The 25,952-nt window shown below is 45.2% G+C and overlaps 1 protein-coding gene and 1 long non-coding RNA gene across 10 annotated transcripts, besides 3 other annotated features; one reads left to right on the forward strand and one right to left on the reverse strand.

The window, feature by feature from the left end:
• Positions 1–542: 542 nt before the first annotated feature.
• Positions 543–18,669, reverse strand: NSMCE4A (NSE4A component of SMC5/6 complex). Of its 9 annotated transcripts, none has more exons than NM_001167865.2 (11): positions 18,326–18,669; positions 17,456–17,533; positions 14,391–14,521; positions 11,107–11,258; positions 8,738–8,837; positions 6,690–6,780; positions 4,875–4,969; positions 3,810–3,858; positions 2,953–3,047; positions 2,776–2,859; positions 543–711 (listed from the first exon to the last, which is right to left on the reverse strand). In NM_001167865.2, exons 1-10 carry the CDS (start codon positions 18,615–18,617, stop codon positions 2,788–2,790), a joined length of 1,155 nt encoding a protein of 384 aa, NP_001161337.1. In that variant the 5' UTR covers positions 18,618–18,669; the 3' UTR covers positions 543–711; positions 2,776–2,787. The 9 variants fall into 9 exon arrangements, 8 of the variants coding, with proteins under 8 accessions (NP_001161337.1, NP_060085.2, XP_011538212.1 ...); NM_017615.3 differs by having other exon boundaries at positions 2,776–2,862; XM_011539910.3 differs by lacking the exon at positions 18,326–18,669 and adding an exon at positions 17,881–18,257 and having other exon boundaries at positions 2,776–2,862.
• Positions 18,071–18,870: a silencer, noted in NCBI's record as "silent region_2888". NCBI's record gives its function as "represses an Ori minimal core promoter by ATAC-STARR-seq in GM12878 lymphoblastoid cells {active_cell/tissue: GM12878}" and the evidence as "EXISTENCE:reporter gene assay evidence [ECO:0000049][PMID:35858748]".
• Positions 18,071–19,103: a biological region, named in NCBI's record as "NANOG-H3K27ac hESC enhancer GRCh37_chr10:123734371-123735166".
• Positions 18,308–19,103: an enhancer, noted in NCBI's record as "NANOG-H3K27ac hESC enhancer chr10:123734371-123735166 (GRCh37/hg19 assembly coordinates)". NCBI's record gives its function as "activates a minimal SCP1, AML or CMV promoter by ChIP-STARR-seq in naive H9 embryonic stem cells {active_cell/tissue: H9 hESC(naive)}" and the evidence as "EXISTENCE:reporter gene assay evidence [ECO:0000049][PMID:30033119]".
• On the forward strand, positions 18,319–21,229 carry LOC124902517 (uncharacterized). Its single transcript, XR_007062322.1, has 2 exons — positions 18,319–19,607; positions 19,740–21,229. It is a non-coding gene; the product is annotated as an uncharacterized LOC124902517 (long non-coding RNA).
• Positions 21,230–25,952: the final 4,723 nt, after the last annotated feature.

A 25,952-nucleotide genomic window follows, 5' to 3' on the forward strand; every position in this document is an offset into this window, starting at 1 on the left:
GAAAACTCCAGATACAGGTGAAGGGGATGACTGAGAGAGCAGGCTCCCCTAGGAGGCAGGAAGCACTGGAGCCCAGAGTCTTCCACAGAAAAGACGCCTCTACCCCTGATGCCAGAGGGAAGCAGTGAGAAAACATGAAATAGCAAAGTGGGAACTGGGAGAAGAAACTGACTAGACTTGAAAGCATAGCCGAGATGAGAAGCATGGAGTAGCATGCTGGTAAGATGGAACCAGGGCTGATGTTGCTGGGGAAAGTAGTCCAGCCTGGCTTGCCAGAGGATTTAATAGTTTCTTGTGTGTAAATCAGAGGCTGAATCATAGGAAATTACTCATATTTGACCGTATTTTACCTATAAAAACAACAGTTTCATATGATACAACCTATTTGTTGACTTGACTAGCTAGCTTCGTGGCAAAAAAGAAGTAAAAGGAATCATAATGGTCCGCAGGGCATTAACAACCTAAGTAAAACTTTCACTGGGACAGGAATAGACAAAGGAGACACTCTCCAATAATTAGAAAATAAAGAGCAACTACAATTATTTGTGAATATGGCGGTGAGTTTCCTTTAATCAAAGACAACCATGACAAATTTATTAACTATCAAAAGCTACATTTTACTAAAAACAATCTGCCTTTAAAAATGTTGAATCATACAATATGTACGATACATGCCGCTTTCCGTTTTGGACTTCACTATCCATTTGAGTCCTAAAAAGGGGAAGAATAGCTGGTTAACAGTTTATAAATGATAAACCAAAAGTTCATATAATATACATAAATTAAATCCAACAATTAGCCCTCCTCAGTGAGTAGGGCCCAGGTTAATCCACATTATATATCTTAAATTTATTCCATATTTATTCCCTTCTTCTTTTTTCTTTTTTTTTTTTTTTTTTTTTGAGACAGAGTTTCGCTCTGTCGCCCAGGCTGGAGTGCAGTGGCACAATCTCAGGCTCACTGCAAGCTCTGCCTCCCAGGTTCACGCCATTCTCCTGCCTCAGCCTCCTGAGTAGCTGGAACTACAGGCGCCCACCACCACGCCCAGCTAATTTTTTTGTACTTTTAGTAGAGACGGGGTTTCACCGTGTTAGCCAGGATGGTCTCAATCTCCTGACGTCGTGGTCCGCCTGCCTCGCCCTCCCAAAGTGCTGAGATTACTGGTGTGAGCCACTGCGCCCGGCCTATTCCCTTCATTTAAAATATTTTTACAACTTGGAACAAAAGTATTTCAATTAATTGAAGCACATATTAAGTGCTTACATTAAGTACAAAAAAGTTTATTTTAATGCTCAAAATCAGAAAATTTGAGCTAGAAAAAAAATTCTTAGCAATGATCTAGCTTGAAAATCTTTCCATTTTATAGATATATTTATAGATTAAAAAAAAATAAAGTTGAAGCCAGGCGTGGTGGCTCATGTCTGTAATCCCAGCACTTTGGGAGGCCGAGGCGGGCGGACCACAAGGTCAGGAGTTCAAGACCAGCCTGACCAACATGGTGAAATCCCGTCTCTACTAAAAATAGAAAAATTAGCTGGTCACTGTGGCAGGTGCCTATAATCCCAGCTACTCAGGAGGCTGAAGCAGGAGAATTGCTTGAACCGGGGAGGCAGAGATTACAGTGAACTGAGATCGTGCCACTGCACTCTAGCCTGGGGGTGACAGAGCAAGACTCTGTCTCAAAAAAAAAGAGAAGTTGGGTGAGATTAAGTGACTTGCCCAAGGTTTTAAAGTAAGGGGCAAAAATAAATAAATAAAGTAAGGGGCATAGCCGATAGAATCTAGGTCTTCTGATTCCCACCCACAACTGTCTGCACTACAAAATGTCAGATCATTATTAAGATTTCTTTCTAGAAATGTTACCCTTCATAAAAATGAAGAAGAATTCTTTCATAGCCTAATACAAATTTTAGAAATGCCAATTTACCAAGATTATTCTAAGGTAATTCTATCCTAATCCTCTTTTTCTGCTTTGTACTTATAAAATAAGCAAATCTAATGGGATGGTGAACAACAACATGGATGAGAGGATTCAATATTTCACTTATCTAATTTACCAGTTTGTTGGGGGAAAAGCAGCAGCTGGGTATGGTGACTCATACCTATAATCCCAGCACTTTGGGAAGCTGAGATGGGAGCATCCCTTGAGCCCAGGAGTTTGAGACCAGCCTGGGCAACATAGTGAGACCCCTTCCCTATTTTTTATTAAAAACAAAAACAAAAACAAAACCCACCAAACCAAGAACAATCCTGCACTGCTTCTTTCAGCTGCAAGTCTTTTTTTTGAGACAGAGTCTTGCTCTGTCTCCCAGGCTGGAGTGCAGTGGCACGATCTCAGCCACTGCAACCTCCACCTCCCGGGTTCAAGCAATTCTCCTGCCTCAGCCTCCTGAGTAGCTGGGATTACAGGTGCATGCCACCACGCCCAGCTAATTTTTGTATTTTTAGTAGAGATGGGGTTTTACCATGTTGGTCAGGCTGATCTCGAACTCCTGACCTCATGATCCGCTTGCCTTGGCCTCCCAAAGTGCTGGGATTACAGGCGTGAGCCACCACGCCTGGCCTCAGCTGCAAATCTTAACAGCACAAATTTAATCAATCCAGAGAAGGGAACGCAGAACCACTATCCCTTTCTCACCTGTTACACACAGTTCTAAGAATGGGGCACTACAGGGAGGCAAAAATTCAAATTTCACTGGAATGGGGAAAAGGGATACTTTGGATTGCCAAATGAACTTTAATAGAACTGTGTAGCCATCCCATTGAAAAGGTTACCTTCAGCTAGCATCAAGCACTTGGCTTCTGCTGCCTCTGACTTGGAGTAATCACAGGCTCTGAAATCTCAAAGGTCTTCACAATCTCCTGGCAGACAATAATGAACATTTAGGCACTGGGCTTACTGCAAGTGAAGGCAGAGTCAGAACTATGCAGGGGCAACAGGCAGAGCTTTACCTCCCAGTCACGGTAACTCAAAGCTATAATTCCTTGATTTCTAACTTGTGTGTTATGTTCAAATCCCTCATTTTCTTCATTAATACTAACAGGCTCTGTTTGAAAGACAAATTTTTCAAATTTATCAAAGGTTATTAAATCGGAACAGGTAATCTAAACGGAAACTGATGAATAATAGCAATGAAACCTGTATTGAAAAGATACTTATAATATTACATACTTTTTAGGATTTCATGCATTATGGAGCTGCTGTAGTATTATTACAGTAGCCAGTCATTCCATCTGTTTCCATTTCAAAAAACATGTAGTAGAGTAACACATTCCAGACATTTGAAAATCTGCATATCTATGTGTCAACCACAGAGCTAAGCCCTAGTGAGTCCAATAGGACATTGAGAACATTGAAAGTAGCAAGTAAGTGCGATGGAAATATTCACTCTCCACAGGAGACCTTAGGAGGACATGAGTAATGGAGAGTGTGAAATTATTCAGGTAAGAATGAAAGATTCATAGAACCTCAAAGAGAAAAGAAGGTGCCGGCATCTGACAAAACGTGATTAGAAAGAGGGATACTACAAAAATGACTGCAATCACCAACTTTCTAAATTAAGATCTGAGGGAAATTATATCATTTCTTTGTTAATATTTACAGCAGATGTTGAATCAATGATATAGATGAATCCATCAAAATTTTAGACGCTGGCCATGTTTTCAGTATCTTCAGGTAGTTGAGCAAGATACAATATTGTAAAAGTTAATCTACATTGAAAATTCATTTACATTTAGTAAAATACTTAAATTCTACTAACAAATATATTTTCTCTAAAACTAATTTTTCCAAACATAGTATCATTTACCTATTACTGGCAGTCGGTCTTGGTCAAGTCTTATTCTTGCAAAACCATCCTAAAACGAAAACATGATTTTAGGAGAAGACAAACATTTAAGACTCAAACCTATACGCACTAGATGGAAAAAATTACTCAGAAAATTCAGTATCTCAGAAAATCAAATTACACCATAGCAATAATAAGGTGATGATATAGATAAGACTTCCCTAGTATCTTTTATTTACACAGGGTATCTTTGGGTTTCTAATCAGCTCTTTCACCCAGACACAGCCTCCATCCTGAGAATCTCTTAAGTGAAACTCATCTTGTCTCTTTAACTGATTTATACATATTTTGGAATACTCCACATTTTATTCTGCATAATTCTGTCACTGGGACCACTGGCAAAATATGCCTTTGTTATTATTTCTGAGAAAATACGTTGGTAGACATAGGTTTTCTCTAAGGTTATAATCAAATTCATCTTACATGTGGGAATGCAACCTGAAGTAAGATTAAAGATAGTCTAAAGCAAATTTCCATGGTACATATCTGAGTAGAGTTTTAAAACCAATTTTGAAATAATTTCAGACTTAAAGGGCTATAAGACTACTATAAACACGTGGCATATATCCTTTACCCATATTCATCAGTCGTTAAAGTGTTAGTTACCACGTTTACTTTATCACTCTACATATTATTATTTATGAATGAAGTGAGAATGATAGGCGGCCTGCTTCTTTTCCCTAATCTTTCAGTGTGTATTTCTTGAGAACAAGGATATTATACAACATGACAACTATCAAATGCAGGAAATTTAACATTTATACCATACTGTTATCTAATCTAAAGTTCCATATTCAAATTTTTCCAATTCTTTCTCTAAATAATTTCTAAAACATAAAAGCAAGCATATAAAATTTTAGCTAGCTTCTTCTACCTAATATGCCAATTAATGTTTTGCTACAATGGGTCTGAAACATATACTGGCTAGTGTATACAGATACCTTTGCCAGCTCCCTTCTACAGCTTTTCTTATGTAGCCTTTTAAAAGCATATAAAAGCAATTAGAAAAATAATCTTTAATCTTACCCGTATAATGAAGGAAACATGAAAGATGTTTTCCACTGTACGGGGGAAAGAATGAGGATCAACCACAAAGTCAAAGAAGGACATTGGGGTATCAGCTATAGACAAAAAGAGAAAAAAAAATTGATTTTTGCTTGTCATTAATATCAGTACACTCTAGCGTTAGCCAGAGACAAAGAAAGGATGTGTACTCATTCCTGCTGCAGGAGTGCAAATCAATCCAACCCTTCTGGAGGCCAATTTGGCATCTCTACTAAAAACATGTATGCCCACTGACCTGGAAACCACCTCTAAGAAGCTGTGCTACAGAAATACAAGTGTAACTGCACAAAATTACATACTAAGATTTTTTACTTCAGCAATTTATACAAGAGTAAAATGCTATAAAGAACTTAATCATCCAGCTGGGCATGGCACTCACACCTGTAATCCCAGCACTTTGGGAGGCCGATGCTGGCAGATCACCTGAGGTCAGGGGTTCAAGACTAGCTTGGCCAACATGGCGAAACAATGTCTCTACTAAAAATACAGAAAAAAAATTAGCCAGATGTGGTGGCGCGTGCGCCTGTAATCCCAGCTACTCAGGAGGCTGAGGCAGGAGAATTGCTTGAATCCAGGAGGTGGAGGTTGCAGTGAGTTGAGATGGTGCCACTGCATTCCAGTCTGGGCGAAAGAGTGAGACTGTCTCCTAAAAAAAAAAAAAAAAAATAGGAACTTGGCCGGGCGCGGTGGCTCATGCCTGTAATCCCAGCACTTTGGGAGGCCGAGGTGGGTGGATCACAAGGTCAGGAGATCAAGACCATCCTGGCTAACACGGTGAAACCCAGGTTCTACTAAAAGTACAAAAGAATTAGCCAGGCGTGGTGGCGGGTGCCTGTAGTCCCAGCTACTTGGGAGGCTGAGGCAGGAGAATGGCGTGAACCCAGGAGGGAGAGGTTGCAGTGAGCCAAGATCGCGCCACTGCACTCCAGCCTGGGCGACAGAGCGAGACTCTGTCTCAAAAAAAAAAAAAAGGAACTTAATCATCCATTAATGGAGGATCTGTTAAATATATTTACAGTACAGCCATATAATGGGAATCAGTGAACAAAACAAGGGAGATCTATATGAAATGATGTGGAAGAATGTCCACATGGAAAAGTCACGTAGCAGAAGAATGTGCATATTATGATTAGCTTGGAAAAAAAGAAAAAAACAAACTTTTTTTTTTCAGATGTAGTTTCGCTCTTGTTGCCCAGGCTAGAGTGCAATGGCGTGATCTTGGCTCACCGCAACCTCTGTCTCCCGGGTTCAAGCGATTCTCCTGCCTCAGCCTCCCAAGTAGCTGGGATTACAGGAATGCACTACCACACCCGGTTAATTTTGTATTTTTAGTAGAGATGAGGTTTCTCCATGTTGGTCAGGCGGGTATCGAACTCCCAACCTCAGCCTCCCAAAGTGCTGGGATTACAGGTGTGAGCCACCACGCCCGGCCAAAACAAACTATTTAGGTAGGTGTGTATAAAACTGATAAAATAATCTGAAAATATACACATTACATTTTATAATGAGGGGAGGTGGAACAGCTACTTTTGACATTTCTCACTTGAATGGCATATTTCATTTTGTAACAAAAAAAATCCCCATCTTTTAAAGATAAAAATGAAAACGTTAACTTCAAAGTTTTCACATGAAATTTCTAAAGGGGAGAAGAATCCTCATAAAATGCATATGTATTTATTCAAATATTACATACAGCTGAAATTGCCTTTTAAATACAAGTAACCTCAGTGAACAGATAAATACAAATTGCTCCACTTTGAATGGTGTTACACTTACGATCTTCTCGAAAATATGTCTGCAACAATCCCAAGATTCTTTCTACTTCTTTCTCTGTTGCTTCTTGATGAGATTCTTCCATTCTTCTTAACTGAAAAAAGTCATTATCAAGCTGACAGACCTACTTACTGGCCTATTAACGTTTTCTTCTCTCTTGCACACCCAAACTCCTTTTCTTCTCTCTTGCACACCCGAACTCTTTTTTTTTTTTGAGACAGGGTCTTGCTTTGCCACCCAGGCTAGAGTGCAGTTGCATGATCTCGGCTCACTGTAACCTCAGACTCCTGTGCTCAAGGGATCCTACCACCTCAGCTTCTTGAGTAGCTGGCACTAGAAGCGTGCACCACTACACCTGGCTAATTTTTTTTTTTTTAATTCATTCTACCTTGTCTAAGACACCTGGCTAATTAAAAAAAATTTTTTTAGATATGGGGTCTTGCTGACCATCCTGGCTAACACGGTGAAACCCCATCTCTACTAAAAATACAAAAACTTAGCCAGGTGTGGTGACAGGCGCCTGTACTCCCAGCTACTCAGGAGGCTGAGGCAGGAGAATGGCATGAACCCGGGAGGCGGAGCTTGCAGTGAGCCGACATCGCGCCTGTAATCCCTGCGCTGTAGGAGGCTGAGGCAGGTGGATCACAAGGTCAGGAGTTCGAGACCAGCCTGGCCATTATGGTGAAACCGTCTCTATTAAAAAACACCAAAATTAGCCGGGCATGGTGGTGCCTGCCTGTAATCCCAGCTACTTGGGAGGCTGAGGCAGGAGAATGGCTTGAACCCAGCAGGCGGAGGTTGCAGTGAGCCGAGATCGCGCCACTGCACTCCAGCCCGGGTGATAGGGCAAGACTCTGTCTCAAAAAAAATTATGGTTTAAAAAAAAACAGATTTTCTGGTTTCAGTAACTTTTTTTTTTTTTTTTTGAGATGGAGTCTTGCTCTGTGGCCCAGGCTGGAGTGCAGTGGTGCCATCTCGGCTCACTGCAACCTCCGCTTCCCAGGTTCAAGCAATTCTCCTACCTCAGCCTCCAGAGTAGCTGGGATTAGAGGCACCCACCACCACATCTGGCTAATTTTTTGTACTTTTTAGTAGAGACAGGGTTTCACCATGTTGGCCAGGCTGGTTTCTAACTCCTGACCTCAGGTGGATCTGCCCGCCTTGGCCTCCCAAAGTGCTGGGATTACAGGCGTAAGCCACCACACTCGGGCAACCTTTGTTTTTTTTGAGACGGACTCTCGCTCTGTCGCCCAGGCTGGAGTACAGTGGCATGATCTCGGCTCAGTGCAACCTCTGCCTCCTAGATTCCTAATTCTCCTGCGTCAGCCTCCCGAATAGCCCGGACTACAGGCACCTGCCACCATACCTAGCTAATTTCTGTATTTTTAGTAGAGACGGGGTTTCCCCGTATTGGCCGGGCTGGTCTCGAACTCCTGACCTTGTGATCTGCCCGCCTCGGCCTCCCAAAGTGCTGGGATTACAGGCGTAAGCCACTGTGCCTGGCCTCAGTAACATTTTCATATCAATTTCTTAATAGAATAGTAACATTACCAGATTAACCATTTTCAGGTTGAACATAAAATAGCAAAATACAAAAGGGCGGTTTAGAAACAGTGGTTCTCGAGTGGGTGTGACTTTCCCCCCACCTCCCCAGGGAACATTTGTTGTCACATGTAGACATTTTTGGTTGTCACAACTCAGGGGTCGGGGGGGCTATTAGCATATAACAGGTAGAGGCTGGGGATGCCGCTAAGCATCCTACAATGCGCAGGACAGCTCCCCAAACCAACATTATCCAGCCGTAAATGTTGACAGTGCTGAGGTTGACCCTGGCTTCGGAGAACTGATCAAAACTAGAGAAATGAGTTAAAACAAAGACAAGCAGCCAATCCAATAAAATGCTTAAAGGCTTAAATAAAATGATTATTTAAGTGACAAAACCTGGCTCCAGACCCGCACACTTAGAAAAAATGGCCAAATTGCATGCACATTATTTTAACAGCTATTTTAACTTTAATGTGTTTTTTTAAAAGCAACATTTTAAAACAAACCTGGGCAGGCATTGCCCTCTCCTCTTGTATCACAGGAACTTTTCTTGGACGATCAACTCGTGGCTTTGGCACAGGGCACTCTCCGTATATTGAACCCAACCTAATGAAAAGTATGCTTTCATTTATTTTTTTTGCCTGTTGTTTGTTAAACAAACTAACTTTACTAACTAAAAGTAGTTTGCATGGTATAGTCAAATTCAGACCAGACATCAGTGATATACAAGCTGACATCAGAGTAAGACTCTTGATAAGGTTTGTGACAGCCTTTCTGCCTTCTTTGTATTTCTAAAAGAACTCCTAGGAGCTTTACTCAACCACAGATACCTCCTCAGACACCTACATACTGCCCTGTAAAGTAGGCCAGTGAATATGCCTGTGACATCTTCCCACCACCCAACCTATTGTTTTGCAAAGCCAACTTCTAAGAGCAGGGGAAGGATGAACATGTATGTGGGGAAGCTCCAGTGGGGTCAGAAGACTTTGATCTGGGGAGGCCAAGGCAGAGGCTCCCAGCCCAGGACTACAGAACACATCTGTCTTAGGATAACAGGGCAAGTCACAGCCATGGGATTCCTTTTCCTTCTGGATTCTGCCCTCATGCAGACTTGGGTTACAGTAATAGATGTAAGTCTGCATCATGTAGAGATCAAAGCCCCAAGAATAAGGCTCATGTGGTCCCTACCCTTGAGGAGACAAAAATATACGATGTAGATGGACAGCTGCATTATGCACACAGATCCATTTCAATATAACATGGTGGGCTACTCTGGGAACACTCCTGCTCCACAAGGAGCAGTATAAAAAAATAAATTAATCAAATTTTAAAAAAGCAACATGGTAGATCCTGGGCGCTTAGAGAGTACTGCTCAAGTGCTATGAGAACACTTGGGCAGAGATATCTACCCAGACATGGGAGTGACGTGGTTGAGAAATCTGATCCTACACTGCTAACACCTCTGTCTGGAGAAGTTGCTGGAGGCTTCCAAGATGGGGCCTGTGGGATAAACAAACTTTACCGAATGGAAAAGATGAAAAGGAATTGGAGGCCAAGAGAACAGCAAGTACAAAGACACAGAGTTTTAAGTACTTCATTGTGGCTGGAAATTGGGCTGGATGATGAGATAAAGTTTAAGGCTTTATCTTTATAACCTAGGATTTATGAGTTTAGTACAATAGCAAAAAACAAAGATTTAGACTTTATCCTAAGATGAAGAAGTTTGGACTACATCCTATTAAATAGAACATACACAAATGGCTCTGGGCACCTGAGTTACCTGAAGTCTTATTAAAAATAGATGCCAGACCCCACACCACACTACTACATTGGCATCTCCAAGGCCTTCTACCCGAGCTACTATCAATCTCAATGGTTTTTAGAAAGACAAATTAGAAAAGACAAAAGCCCAGGAGCTATACCACTTAAAGAAGGACTGAACAACTCAGATGGCTACCCTAAAGTATTTACTGGGCAACAAAACCAGTATACTTGAAGGTCCTCTTAGAGAAGAGCCAGTAAGAGCTGTTCTTAATTTCTCCATAGGACCATGCCAGGAAGTTAAGACAGAAGCCAACTTCATTCAAATATAAAGAAATCTTTTTTTTAAATCAGAGTTCTATCTAAAAAATGAACTGGACAGTTTATGTGGCAGTGACAAGTAATCTTCAAATACAAGTCAGTGGTCATCTAACAGGGTATTATAATAAATGTCACTTTAGACGTTGGGAGACTCATAAGATACCCTCAGTAGGAGGTATCATCCTCCTATATGATAAGGATTTTAAAGATGATAAACCCAGAGTCTCATGAGCTAGAAGCAAAGGAGCCAGGAGAGCACTGGTAAAGAGGTTCTGGCCTTTTCTGCTAAAGCAGAATGAGAGATCCTTTAAGGTTCCATCCACATCTAGAGTTTATGGACTTTTTTTTCTTTTTTGAGACAGGGTCTCACTGTCAGCCAGGCCGGAGTGCAATGGCGCAATCTCAGCTCACTGCAATCTCTGCCTCCCAGGCTCAAGTGATCCTCCCACCTCAGCCTCCCAAGTAGCCAGGACCACAGGCATGGGCCACTACAGCGGGCTAATTTTTTGTATTTTTGGTAGAGATGGGTTCTCGCCATGTTGCCCAGGCTGATCTTGAATTCCTGAGCTCAGATGATCTACCTGCATCCACCTGCCAAAGTGCCGGGATTACAGGCATGAGCCACCACACCCGGCCTAGTGTTTATGAACTTTCATATCAAAGTTTCAAAAGTCTCCAAACAACGGCATCATGACTGTCACCTCTACAATACCAAATAATCTTTGTCCCTACAAGAAAAAGCAATTTAAGGTTCACAAATAACTGGTCTGTTGGATTTTTAAAATAATCTTACAGAAAGTGGAATGTATGGGTTTTATTAAAGGTGTTTTCTGCTGTTCTGCCTGTTATCTTCCAGGAGTCATAGACTATGAATTCAAAATCAGGACTATCTTCATCACGGATGAGTTCTTCAGCTTCTAGCGGATTTACACCCATATGTGTGAGCTACAAAAATGAAGGAAAACAAAAAACCCAGTTAAGCCACATGCAATCATTTTCCACATCCAATAATCCGCATCACTCAACCTTTAAGAGGCCAGACGCAAAGCCAGCTTTCAGTGTCTTAACATGCTGGCTAAATTTCTTACTGTGAAGATAACTTTACAGTTAAAGTCCTGCTTCCAAAGCTACCTTCTTTTTGGCAGAAAACATTCCTCAATGTACTTAAAACCTTTGGGTGAGAAAGTGAAATGATTTAGACCAGTGGTTCTCAACCTGGGTATACGTGCCCACAGGGGTCTTCTGGCAATACCTGGAGACATTTGTGGGTGTCACAACTGATATGCTGCTGGCATATACTGGGTAGAGGCCATGGAGGCTGTTGAATATCATATAATGCACAGTAACAGCCCCCAAAACAAAGACATGCCCAGCTCAAAATGCCAATCCATAGTGCCAGTGCTGAGAAACCCTGCTGTAGCCCACTGGCAGCCAGAAGTATTTAGGTATGCCAGAACTCAGCCCCCTGGGATTTTTTGTATCACCAATAGTTCGTGTATTAGTAAAGCTGCACTAACATATAAATATAAAATTAAATCCCAAATCAAAAGCTTCAAGACAGCACAAGGAAGTTCAGCTGGTTTTCAGATTTTAATTTTTTGCCAACCTCCTACAAATCTCTATTCAGCTTGTATCTCAGTATATCCAGAGAGCAGTGGCCCGGCATCACTGAGAGAATGGCTCATCTTAAAATTGCCTTCCTGGGAAGAGTTGGCGGAAGTCAAATAATTCTCTCATCTCAAACTGTCTTACAGAAAATGTGTTATATTGAATTTACTTTTATGAAAGTACATTTTTATTACATTATACTGTAAAATGCCTAGAAGTTATCCAATTACGATGGCAATATCATATATAAACAATAATCACAAAACCCTCAGGGAGCTTAACCCTATTAAAGGCAATCAGACTTTAAAGAAAAGAAAGGCTACAAGAGCCTGGTCAGAGCGCTATGGCCAGCTCTTCTCCATTCCCTTGCCGCCCGAACTACCACTGCACCCTTGTAGGCAGACGTGGCAGTTTTGGTCTGTTTAACTGACAGAGAAATCCACCAATCTTTCCTTATAGTGTCTATATTTGATGCTATACATACGAAAGTCTTCTCCACCCAGAGACTGGACAACTATTAATTTAAGGTTTTATATTTAATGCTTTAAGACTTCCAGAATTTATTTTGATATGTTATTTAAAGTACAGAGCTTGGCCGGGCACGGTGGCTCATGCCTGTAATCCCAGCACTTTGGGAAGTCCAGGCGGGTGGATCACGAAGTCAGGAGTTCGAGGCCAGCCTGGCCAACATGGCGAAACCCCACCTCTACTAAAAATTAGCCAGGCGTGGGGACAGGCACCTGTAATGCCAGCTTCTTGGGAGGCTGAGGCAGGAGAATCGCTTGAACCCAGGAGGTGGAGGTTGCGGTGAGCTGAGATCGTGCCACTGCACTCCAGCCTGGGCAACACTCCAGCATGGGCAACACTCCAGCCTGGGCAACAAGAGCAAGACTCTGTCTCAAAAAATAAAAAAATAGAGCTTAACCTGATAAAGTAATTTTTAAAGAAATACCCAATACATGGTTACTTTATTGACCTCTATATTACAGTGCACTTTCCTAAGTGCATTATGTTTCACAATAAAAAAAAGTTAAAAAAAAAAAAAAAAAAGGAAAAGGTTTGAAAAACAAACTGGAAATAATCTGGTGCCTCATGCCTTTACAAAAAAATTATCTGATCAGATCTCATAGTACTAAATTATTTTAATAACCATTTAACATAAACATCCAGTTAGAAATGCAATATTCATACTGAGGTGCAGCTATCTGTGCTAGGACAGAGGTTGGCTCAGATTGACAGATTGACTGATTGATTGATTGATTTTGAGGTGCAGTCTCACTCTGTAGCCCAGGCTGGAGTGCAGTGGCGCGATCTCGGCTCACTGCAACTTCTGCCTCCTGGGTTCAAGGGATTATCCTGCCTTAGCCTCCCGAGTAGCTGGGATTACAGGCGCCTGCCACCACACCCAGCTAATTTTTCTATTTTTAGTAGAGACGGGCTTTCACCATGGTGGCCAGGCTGGTCTGAAACTTCTGACCTCAGGTGATCCACCCGCCTCAGCCTCCCAAAGTGCTGGGATTACAGGCGTGAGCCACTGCCCCCAGCCAGAATAGAATTTTTTAAAAAGACAACAAAGTGAGATACAAGGTCAGTCTCTGTGTGCTTTTTCTTTTTTGGTAAATTCATCAAGGAACAGTTTTAGAATTGCAGGTAACCACTATTCAAACTTGTCAAGAGACAAAGAAAGGTGAATAAAACATAAAACCAAAAAAGCAAAACCTGGCTGGGCTAGGTGGCTCACGGCTGTAATCCCAGCACTTTGGGAAGCCAAGGCGGGCAGATCACGAGATCAGGAGATCCAGACCATCCTGGCTAACATGATGAAACCCCGTCTCTACTAAAAATACAAAAAATTAGCCGGGCGTGGTGGCAGGCGCCTGTAGTCCCAGCTACTTGGGAGGCTGAGACAGGAGAATGGCGTGAACCCAGGAGGCAGAGCTTGCAGTGAGCCGAGATCACGCCACTGCACTCCAGCCTGGGCGACAGAGCGAGACTCTGTCTCAAAGGAAAAAAAAAAAAAAAAAAAAAAGCAAAACCCAATCATATTCACATGGTTTTGAAATATTCTCAAAGACAGACCAAAACATGCCCTCTCGCCAGGCCTAACTCAATTCCAGCTGAGCTCTGCCATCGCAGAGTGGGCTTTTGTCCAGCCCAGGACAAAGGTCTGAGGTCACTGAGAATGATCTAGAACACCAGTGAACAGAGGAAAAATGGCCATTGGCAAATGACCATAGCACCCAGCATCTTAAGACAGAATGCTACGAGATTTTTACTCCAAGCCCCCACCCAAGATTCCACCACATGGTTCTACTTTCGTCTGTTTAAATTGGTAAGATCTCTACAGAGGAATCTGAGACCAAAAAAGAAGAATGAAGTGAAATCATCTGCATATGGATATGAGCACAGTAAATAATTATAATATATAACAGAACATTTTTTATTCAGAGTCTGTAGCTTTGAACTTACTAGAGTTTCAACATATCTTAACATGTCAAAGGAGCTCAGGTCTGAGCGCAGCTGCTTTGCTTTCTCTTTGCCCAAATCTGAAGCCAAAACAAGAAAGTGGGCATCCAGGACTGCTTCTCTTGCTCGGGACACTATTCAAAAAAGAAAGAAAATATTCACATTACAAAATACACATTATCCATAGACTTTTTCCCTACATTTCCAACTACTTACCAGGATTTCCCACTGGACTAAAAAAAAAAAAAAATCTCAATAGGCAACTGACACATCTCCTTCTAAAACGTGCTCCTGGCCAGGTGCGGTGGCTCAAGCCTGTAATCCCAGCACTTTGGGAGGCCAAGGCGGGCGGATCACGAGGTCAGGAGATCGAGACCATCCTGGCTAACACGGTGAAACCCCAGCTCTACTAAAAATACAAAAAATTAGCAGGGCGTGGTGGCGGGCGCCTGTAGTCCCAGCTACTTGGGAGGCTGAGGCAGAATGGCGTGAACCCGGGAGGCAGAGCTTGCAGTAAGCCAAGATCGCGCCACTGCACTCCAGCCTGGGTGTCAGAGCAAGAGGCTGTCTCAAAACAAAAACAAAAACAAAAAAAAACTTTCTCCTGTGCCCAACTCACCAAAATCTCTAATGAAAGCTGACCAGTCTTCCTAAAAGCCAGCTTTCTGTCTAGTTCTCCTACTGTTAGCTGAATCACAATCTCTTAAATAACTCCAGTTGAGCAAAACCCGTCATGTCTAATACTCACTTTTCCCTCCATCCTAATCACGATGATCATGTGTGCTGACGTAAGGAAAATCAAATTCCCACTACATGTAGGGCCCTGTGCTTGGCATGGTGGTTTGTGAACAGCAATAGGTAAGCTGCTAAGCAATAGGTAAGTTGCTAAAGTTGCTAACCAAAATCATGGCATGTGCTAGGCTGGCACTAGGAGGCTCATGCCTCTGTATGGCTTCACAGGCAACCCCAGCAAAGCCACCCAAATGAACAGTCTACAGGTAGCAGGTAGTGACCCGAGGACGGATACTCAAAAAAGGCTTGACAGAGGACATGGGATTTAAGAAAAGCTATGGAAAAAAAAGATTTAAATTAATGCAGAAACAGGCTGGGCACAGCAGCTCATGCCTGTAATCCCTACACTTTGGGAAGCCGAGGCAGGCGGATCACTTTGAGCTCCAAAGTTTGAGACCAGCCTGGGCAACGTGGTGAAACCCCATCTCTACTAAAGAATCAAAAATTAGCTGGGCATGGTGGTGCACACCTGTAATCCCAGCTACTCGGGTGGCTGAAGCTGGAGAATAGCTTTAACCTGGGGGGGGCAGAGGTTGCAGTGAGCCAAGATCATGCCACTGCACTCCAGCCTGGGCGACAGGTGTAGGTGTTCCCAGACTATTTTTCATACTCTCTGTTGCCTGCAGGGTCTGATTAAGCAACCCCCTCAGCCCCGCTGTTTCCTTTTGTTGATCCCTTCTTTATCTCCCATGAGTATCCTGTGCCTGCCTGCCCCACTCCCTTCCCCTTTCATTTATTTATTTATTTTACAAACTGAGACCATCAAATCCATGAATGCCAGCATCTGTTGTTTGCTGAGCAACTCCTAGGGCTCCAATGAGTGAATAATTTTGCTCTAAAATATTGCTTTAAATACTGGAAATAGCTGAGGGGGGAATGATGTGGGGATAAAGAACTGACTAGATGCACAGTAAATATCAAGGGAGTAATTGAGTCAAGTCAAGCAAGACTAACAGTAAGGAGACTGGGAGTCCAGGCTGCGAAGGGAAGACAAAACTTAAGAGGGTAGTAGAGGGATTTAACCAGGTGAAGGAGAAACACCCGGTTCCTGAAGGTTTTGATGAGAGTTAGCAAATGCGGTAGACTAAGATGGGGAATGGTAAGGAGGCTGTGGTCAAAGAAATTGGAGAGCATATATAAAGTGATAAAAGGAGACATTTAAAGAACTAGTCATCCTCAGCAATGACTAAAAATATACGTTCTAGTCCTTTAAGAATATGAGGAACCAGCCGGGGGCGGTGGCTCATGCCTGTAATCCCAGCACTGTGGGAGGCGGAGGCAGGTGGATTACCTGAGGTCAGGAGTTCGAGACCAGCCTGGCCAACATGGCGAAACCCGTCTCTACTAAAAATACAAAAATTAGCTGGGTGTGATGGAGCACACCTGTAATCCCAGCTACTCGGGACGCTGAGGTAGGAGAATTGCTTGAACCTGGGAGGTGGAGGTTGCAGTGAGCCGAGATTGTGCTACTGCACTCCAGCCTGGGCAACAGAGACTCCATCTCAAACCTCAAAAAAAAAAAAAAAAAGGATATATTTGGCTGCATTCTCCCCTATGTTCCCACAGACCCGTCAGAGAGGGCTGGAGGGGACAGTGGTCTGGGTAGTAGTCCTGTGGCTCTATGACCAAGTACCCACATCAGGGAGTACCCCTCTGTCACCAAGCAGACAGACAGCTGCTACCAATACCACTGCCTCTGCTTTCAATTCAAACTAAGGTTATTTTTTAAAGCACCCATGGCCTAGAGTTCAGTGCTCTGGGATCTCTCTCACTCACTCACTCACACACAACACACCCCAGACTGGAGACCAGCAGGTACACTTGCAGGCTTTGCCACCTCCATTGTGTTACACGTGGACCAATAGCAGGGAGCTGAGGAAGGCAAAACAGAATGGGACAGGAAAAGAAACAGGATTTCAGAGGCTAGCTCAGTTCTGTAATTCATCCACTCAACCAATGTATACTAGGGATACGGCAGTAAACACAAGAAAAAGAAACAAGATAACACATGTAACGTTCTCAAACTTGAAGAGGCAACAGAATCAACTGGGGGCTTAACACAGACTGCGGAACCTACCCCCAAATTTTCATGTAAAGCCCTTATTATATGGTAAGTGCATAATAAAAATGGCATTATTGCTATAATGAAACGGTTCCCGAACTGGGAAAGCACTATTACAAATGTGGGAATTGTTTTATGTCAATAATTTGGCGCTTATGTAACACTAATTAAAAGTATCATAAAACACGAAATAACATATAAAATAACAAATTACCTTCATTAAACAGAGTGTTAGCCTCTTCAAGGACCTCTGTTAATTTGTCACCGGCATTCAGTATGTCCTCACGGTTTTCTATTTTTAAAAATACAAACTTTGGGAAATTTGTTCAGCATTCACTAATAAGCAGTTGACAAGGTTATCACCTGCAACAGTAAAGCCAAGCCCCGGCCCCTGCGCTCTGAGTAATTACTTCGAACATCTTTATCTTTTTAACCAAAATGACCCGGAAAAGGAGAAAGGCCACCCTACCCTTTATGCAGCATGAATTTTAAAAGGAAACCCTAGCTCCCTCTAACCTTAACCCAAAGGGCTGGACTCCGGCTGCAGCCTCTGAGTGCTCCATAACTGAGTGGTTCTCAAACTTTGCAAGCAATACACACCATCACCTGGAGGGCCACTCCACAGTTGCGCGGACCCACCCAGAGATTCGAATTCCGCGGGTCCGGGTGGGGTCCGAGAACGTGCATTTGACAGCTCTCGCGTGCCGCTGCAGCTGCAGCTGCCGCTGCGAGGCCGGGAGCCCACGCCGAGGACTGCCGGGCGCAATCAAAGCACGCGGAGTCCGCGTCCTGCCTCTCCCCACTGGCTGGCTGGGCTCGGGCGAGTCCGCGAACGGCTCTGGCCTCCAGCTTTTCCAGCCCGCCACTCGGGGACCCGCGCCAAGGTCGTACGGCTCCAGCCACAAAGTGGGAGCACTTTGTCAACAATTTAAGGTGCGGCGAGGGGCTGGCACCCGGCGCGTCTCTACTAACGCCGCGCCGGGCCTCCGCCCGGCACCTGCCTCCGGTGCCCTCCCCCCGCGCCCGGCGCAGGGCGGGGACAGCGGCCCGTCCGGGCCCGCGCCGCCCGGAGGCGCCGCCTTACGTTGGACGGAGTTGATGAGCGCCCGGTACTGATGGCGGATCTGGCGGCACAGGCCTTGGTCGGCCTCCGCCTCCAAGCTGGCCGGGTCCATCATCTCGTCCCCGGAATCCGACGGCTCTGTGTCCTCCAGGCTCGGGCGCTCTGGGGCCTCTCTGCGCTCCCGCGCAGAGCCGCGGCGGGACCTGGGCGACAAAGGGGACCGCGAGCGGGAGCGGGAGCGGGTGCGATCCCGATGCGGGTCGCGGCCCCGGCCCCGGCCCTCTGGCCCGCGGCCGCTGCTGTCCCCAGACATAGCGCCAATTCACCGTGCAACTTCGGAACGGCGGAAGTTCGCGCCAGAAACTGAAACCCCTGCTCTGCGCCAGCGCCTGCTCCCGGCGGAACGCGGCTCCCGGGCCCGCGCGAGCGCACAGCGACGCCTGTGGCTGGAGGCCGGCGACGGGCCCGGCCGGGTCTCCAAGGCGCCTGGGGGGACCGCTGGGTGCACAAGAGGGGCCTGGCGGGGATCCTTTGTTCCCTTGACAAGAGGTGTAATGAGCTCTTACTCCACACTGCAGGGCTGTGAGAATCTTGGTTTTCTGCCCCTACTTTCCCACCCTCCTGGACCTGCATCTTCCCTAGGTCCCTTTGCCTGCCCAGGACACAGCCGCAGCCTGGCACCCACATGGGCACGCAGTCCATGTGTGTTGAACGAGCTTCCTGCTGTGGAGCAGGATGAGCGCGGGATGTGGAGTCCAGACGCGGTCTGCTGCTCACCTGCGACCTCAGTTTCCCTGTGCCATCATGGCTGGGGTCGGGGGGGTGGGGAACAGGGGTGGGTGGATGAATCAAATATTTATGTGCAGCTGGCAATACCATTTTTTGTGAGGATAGCAGAACAAATTAACAGGTAAACATCCTTCTAAATATCTACAACAGAATGTCACCAGAGCACCAGGGTTTTGTTCTAGGACCCGCTGCCCCCTCACAGAAATCACTGAGAAAACCATTATTACCAAGGAAGAAGGCTTTAGTAGGGTGCTGCACTCAGGGAGTTGGAAGCTCAGTCTCAAATCCATTGCCCTGACCAACTAAAATTAAGGGTTTATACAGTTGCAGGGAAGCAATGTAACAATGTATGGGAAAAGAGGAACTCGGGAGGGGGAAGGAAGCTATGGGGATGCATGAGGGGCTTGGCATCTCATTGTCTGGAATGCGGTGATATGGCGAGTTTCAGTTTTTTGATACTTTTTGAGAGGCTCTGGAGGTCCTTTCCTGAGGAAGGAACTCAGATAAAACAAAGGTAAGTTTCAACCTTAAGACTAGAAATGATAATTTCTAAGTTTATTAAAAAAATAGTAAACAGTCTATGGGATTGTTGGGTTGATTTTAATGACAGTCTATGTTCACATTTGATTTTTTTTTTTTTTTTAAGACCTTGCTCTGCCGAGGCTGGAGTACAGTGGCACTATCTTGGCTCACTGCAACCCCATCTCCTGACCTCAAGTGATCCGCCCACCTCGGCCTCCCTAAGTACTGGGATTACAAGCATGGGCCACCAGGCACAGCCTGATTCTGATTCTCAAACTAGAAGATTCTAAGAATACCTCCTGAAGGGCCCAAGAAAGATGGAATTATGTTAAGTATACTTTGAAAGATAAATGTATGAATTTCACTCCGTGCATTTTGGATTGTATTCGAGTATTGTTTCCCAAAAGTTGTCTTTGGTGCTAAGAACACATTTTCTCAAAAGACCAATATTATAAGTTGGGTTATTACACAACCTACAAATATTCCATTTTGTGCATCATGTCTACTAAACTTAAGTTAGGCACTGTTCATTGCTGTCCAACAGCTACTACCTCACCCATCCCTGCTTATCTGTATTTCCTGAAGGGGACGTGTGTGCCTACTTCCTTAGATGAAACGTGATCACTCTAACCAGGTCACGGTAATGTCATTCCCCTTCCCCAGTGACTGGTCAAGGGTCATGTGATGCAACCTGGGTCCGTGAGATGTGAAAGGGTTTCCCAACTGGATGGAATACAAACCTTCCTGAAAAGAAAACCCTTGACCCCCTACCCCCTTTGAGATGGCTGGCATAAGAAATGGGGAACCTGCCAATTAGCGGGCATAATGGTGCGTGTCTGTAATCCCAGCTAATCGGGAGGCTGAGGCAAGAGAACTGCTTGAAGCTGGGAGGTGGAGGTTGCAGTGAGCAGAGATCGCGCCATTGCACTCCAGCCTGGGTGACAAGAATGAAACAACGTCTGAAAGAAAAAATGTGGAGCCTGCCATATTGGCAGCATCTGGTACTCACGAGGTGACAAGCATGAGGAAAGACTAGAGTGCTGGAGACACTGGAGAGCAAAGATGGACATGGCTGAATTGCTGAATCAACCACATGCCTCCAGACTCCCTGTAAAGTAAGCCATAAATCATGGTTTAAACCAGGTCATTGTTTCATAGTTGTTGCTTGTAGCTCAGTGTTCTGTAATGGAATACTTAGCGTTCTTCCAGGTGAAAGTGTGTCCAGAATTGGTGGGTTCTTGGTCTCACTGACTTCAGGAATGAAGCCGCGGACCCTCGCAGTGAGTGTTACAGTTCTTAAAGGTGATGTGTCCGGAGTTTTTTCCTTATGATGTTCAGATGTGTTCGCAGTTTCTTCTTTCTGGTGGGTTCGTGGTCTCACTCGCTCAGGAGTGAAGCTGCAGACCTTCACGGTGAGTGTTACAGCTCTTAATGCGGCGTGTCTGGAGTTGTTCGTTCCTCCCGGTGGGTTTGTGGTATTGCTGGCCTCAGAAATGAAGCTGCAGACCTTCACAGTGAGTGTTACAACTCATAAAAGCAGTGCAGACCCAAAGCGTGAACAGCAGCAAGATTTATTGCAAAGAGCGAAAAAATAAAGCTTCCACAGTGTGCAAAGTGAGCTGAGTGGGTTACTACTACTGGCTAGGGCAGCCTGCTTTTATTCTCTTATCTGGCCCCACCCACATCCTGCTGATTGGTCAATTTTACAGAGAGCCGATGGGTCTGTTTTACAGAGAGCTGATTGGTCCATTTTGACAGGGTGCTGATTGGTGCGTTTACAATCCCTGAGCTAGACACAAAAGTTCTCCACCTGTCCACTAGATTAGCTAGATACAGAGTGCTGATTGGTGTATTTACAAACCCTGAGCTAGACACAGAGTGCTGATTGGTGCATTTACAAACCTTGAGCTAGATACAGAGTGCCGATTGGTGTATTTACAATCCCTTAGCTAGACATAAACGTTCGCCAAGTCCCCACCAAATCAGCTAGACACAGAGCGCAGATTGGTGCATTTACAAACCTTGAGCTAGACACAGAGTGCTGATTGGTGCATTTACAAAGCTTGAGCTAGATACAGAGTGCTGATTGGTGTATTCACAATCTCTTAGCTAGACATAAAGGTTCTCCAAGTCCCCGCTAGACTCAGGAGCCCAGCTGGCTTCACCCAGTGGATCCCGCACCAGGGTGGCTGGTGGAGCTGCCTGCCAGTCCCTCGCCCTGCACCCCACTTCTCAGCCTTTGGGCAGTTGATGGGATCGGGCACCCTGGAGCAGGGGGCGGCGCTCATCGGGGAGGCTCGGGCCACGCTGGAGCCCACGGTGGCAGGGGGAGGCTCAGGCATGGCGGGTTGCAGGTCCTGAGTCCTGCCCTGCGGGGAGGCAGCTAAGGCCCGCCGAGAAATGGAGCACAGCGCTGGTGGGCTGGCACTGTTGGGGGACCCCGCGAACCCACCACAGCTGCGGGCCCAGGTGCTAAGCCCCTCACTGCCCAGGGCAGCCGGCCACTCCCGAGTGCGGGCCTGCCAAGCCCACGCCCACAGGGAACTCTAGCTGGCCCGCAAGCACAGCGTGCAGCCCCGGTTCCCCCCGTGCCTCTCCCTCCACACCTCCCCGCAGGCTGAGAGAGCCGGCTCTGGCCTCGGTCCCAGGAAGTGGCTCCCACAGCGCAGCGGCGGGCTGAAGGGCTCCTTAAGCCGGCCAGAGTGGGCGCTGAGGCCGAGGAGGTGCCAAGAGCGAGCGAGGGCTGCCAGCACGCTGTCACCTCTCAAAAGTTCATTCCAAGCTCCACACAAAAATACCTGAAATAGGCCAGGTGCAGTGGCTCACGCCTGTAATCCCTGCACTGTGGGAGGCCAAGGTGGGTGGATCACCCAAGGTCAGGAGTTCAAGACCAGCCTGGCCAACATGATGAAACCCCCGTCTGTACTAAAAATACGAAAAATTAGCCAGGCGTGGTGGTGGGCGCCTGTAATCCCAGCTACTCAGGAGGCTAAGGCAGGAGAATCACTTGAACCTGGGAGGCGAAGTTTGCAGTGAGCCGAGATCATGCCACTGCACTCCAGCCTGGGTGACAGGAGCAAAACTCCATCTCAAAAAACAAACAATGACAACAACAACAAAAAAACCCTGAAATAACTCATTCAATTCAAAAGTATTTGAGGGAGGGCCGGGCGCGGTGACTCATGCCTGTAATCCCAGCACTTTGGGAGGCCGAGGAGGGTGGATCATGAGGTCAAGAGATCGAGACCATCCTGGCCAACATGGTGAAACCCCATCTCTACTAAAAATACAAAAAATTAGCTGGGCATGGTGACGTGCGCCTGTAGTCTCAGCTACTCAGGAGGCTGAGGCAGGAGAATTGCTTGAACCGGGGAGGCGGAGGTTGCAGTGAGCCAAGATGGTGCACCACTGCACTCCAGCCTGGTGACAGAGTGAGACTCCATCTCTAAATAAATAAATAAATAAAAATATTTGAGGTGTACTCATAGGCTAGACACCCTACAAAGCACAGCAGGGCACACAGATAATTCAGGTACTTGCCTTTGCCTTCCAGGGTATCACCAGAAGACAGGCATTAAACTGATTCTAAAATTCATGTGGGGAGCCAGGTGTGGTGGCTCATACCTGTAATCCCTGCACTTTGGGAGGCCAAGGCAGGTGGATCACTAGAGGCCAGGAGTTTGACACTAACTTGGACAACAAAGCAAGACCCTGTCTCTACAAAGTATATATAAATCAACATTAGCCAGGCATGGTGGTGCACACCTACAGTCCCACTGACTCAGGAGGTAGAAACAGGATGATCGCTTGAGCCCAGGAATTTGATGCTGCAGTGAGCTATGATCATGCCACTGCACTCCAGCATGGATGACAGAGCAAGACCTTGTTTAAAAAAAAAAAAAATTATATGGAAATGCAAGGGACCCAGAATAGCCAAAACAATCTTGAAAAAGAAGGACAAATTTGGCAGGATTCAGACTTCTTAATTTCAAGACTTAATACAAAGCTGTATAATCAAAACTGTGTGGTATTGTCATAAGGATAGACATATAGATCAAAGGAATGGAATTGAAAGTCCAGACATATCATTTATGGTTAACTGATTTTCTTTTCTTTTCTTTTTTTTTCGAGGCAGAGTCTCTCTCTGCTGCCAGGCTGGAGTGCAGTGGCACAGTCTTGGCTCACTGCAACCACCGCCTCCCAGGTTCAAGTAATTCTCTTGCCTCAGCCTCCTGAGTAGCTGGGACCTCAGGCGCGTGCCACCATGCCCAGCTAATTTTTGTATTTTTAGTAGAGACAGAGTTTCACCCTGTTGGCCAGGATGGTCTCGATCTCTTCACCTCGTGACCCGCCCGCCTCAGCCTCCCAAAGTGCTGGGATTACAGGCATGCACCACCACACCCAGCTGATTAACTGATTTTCAACCAGGGTGCCAAGACAATAGGAAAATAATAGTCTTTTCAACAAATGGTAGTGGGACAATTGGATATCTGTAGGCAAAGGAGTGAAGCTAGACCCTTCCTTCACATCATATATAAACATTAACACAGAATGGATTGGACCTAAATGTAAGCTAATACTATAAAACTCTTAGAAGAACACATAGCTGTAAATCTTTGTGGCCTTGGGTTAGGTGATAGTTTTTTTTTTAGATATGACACCAAAAGCATCAGCAACCAAAAGATAAAAAAAGATGAACTGTAGGCAAATTTGGGATAATTTGTTACAGCAGCCATAGGAAACAAATCCAGGTACCCAGGATGAGCAACCATGGGAAGATATTACTACTCCAAGGCCTAGAGGGTCTGAAGGAAGAAGCAGTGTTATCAGAGCCCCATGAAGACTGAAGCCATGGAGAAGGGGCAACCAGACAGGAGTTCTGGTTCTAGAGTTTGCACCATGCCAGGACAACAATACTAAGCAAAGAGGAAATCAGGGCAGAAATACCCTGATCTCATCCTTCCAACCTCTCCTCTCCTGCTTTTACCTCTCATTGGCTGAGGCCAACGGGATGTCAGAGGGCAAGAGAACCTGTGTGATGCAGTCTATAGGCCAGTCCCTGGGCAGAGCAGGACCAAGAAAGATGGAGATGCATTTGAGGTGGGAATGGGGACAGATGGAGAGTAACCAGCCTTGTGGGTAAAGGCTCTGCCAGGGTCTATTTAGCTAGGTATATGAGAAATCCCACTACAGTGTGTTAGTCAAAATGGTTACAATTCTTCTTGTAAAACCAGAAGCCTAGAAGTAGGCAGGCCAAGATTGGTGCATTGGCTTCATTGCCTCAACCCCAAAGTGGCACATGTCACTGGGATTAAGCAGAAGTCTATCGAAGGTCTTATGAGAAATATTTTTCTACACAATAAAAATAGACACTAAGAGGAAGTGCTCCTCTTTAGCCAAATGTTGTCATGTCTGCATATGTTGTTCAAAATATGGCAGTCATCTTGTGACCATGCGAGGACAAATTAACATTACCCAGCAGAAAGAACCCAAGTCCCTCATGACATCACCAAGCTGCTGCCACTGCCTTTTCTCTGGACATCTTGTTACAGAGATAATAAAAGTCCTTATTGTTTTGTTTTTGTTTTTTCTTTTTTTTTGAGATGGAGTCTTGCTCTGTCACCAGGCTGGAGTGCAGTGACACGATCTTGGCTCACTGCAACCTCCACCTCTGGGGTTCAAGCGATTCTTCTGCCTCAGCCTCCCGAGTAGCTGGTGAGCCACCACGCCTGGCCAATGTCCTTATTGTTTAAACCACTCTTCATCAAGTGTTCTGTTTTGTTATTTGTAAACAAAACTACCCATATGATGCATTTCTTCCCTACTTAAGCCAACTTGCTTTAGATTTCCTAGCACCAACAAATAAAGAATCCTTACTCGTGCAACCTGATAGTTCCAGAATATAGGAACTGTACCCTAAACAGAAAAGACTGATTAGCACGGTGGTTGCACATAATAATCAGGAACGAAGAGCGTTGCAAGATGATGAAGTGGGGAACGACATAATGAGGAGAACTAAATAAACTCTATCCCCCTTCCTGGGAGATGAAGCCCCTGGATTACCCTCCTGGTTAAAATGGGATGACAATGAGGAGTTGCAAAGGATGTGTAGTAACCAGGACTTAGTGAATGCCAGGCAGAGAGGAGAGATGCAGGAGATGAGTTAGAGATTGGGCAGGTTTGGAGTGAATGAGTCCTCTGGTATCATGGCATCCCTACTAGGCTGCAGCTTTTACCAGCCCTCTTGCAAATCAAATGGAAAAACATGCAAATTCTCACGTGGGAAAAAGTTTTTAATAGTTCTGGCAATGTTGCCTCTAGGGAAGGCAGCCCACCA

The sequence above is a fragment of the Homo sapiens genome, chromosome 10 (genome assembly GCF_000001405.40).
Source record: "Homo sapiens chromosome 10, GRCh38.p14 Primary Assembly".
NCBI classification, from domain to species: Eukaryota; Metazoa; Chordata; class Mammalia; order Primates; family Hominidae; genus Homo; species Homo sapiens.

Coding starts and splice junctions, on each gene's coding strand:
- NSMCE4A (NM_017615.3), bottom strand. CDS start 18,617: ATGTCTGGGGACAGCAGCGGCCGCGGGCCAGAGGGCCGGGGCCGGGGC. Junction 8,838..11,106: donor ACCCATACATTCCACTTTCT/GTAAGATTATTT, acceptor ACTTTTCATTAG/GTTGGGTTCAATATACGGAG. Junction 6,781..8,737: donor AGAGGGCAATGCCTGCCCAG/GTTTGTTTTAAA, acceptor GACTTTTTTCAG/TTAAGAAGAATGGAAGAATC.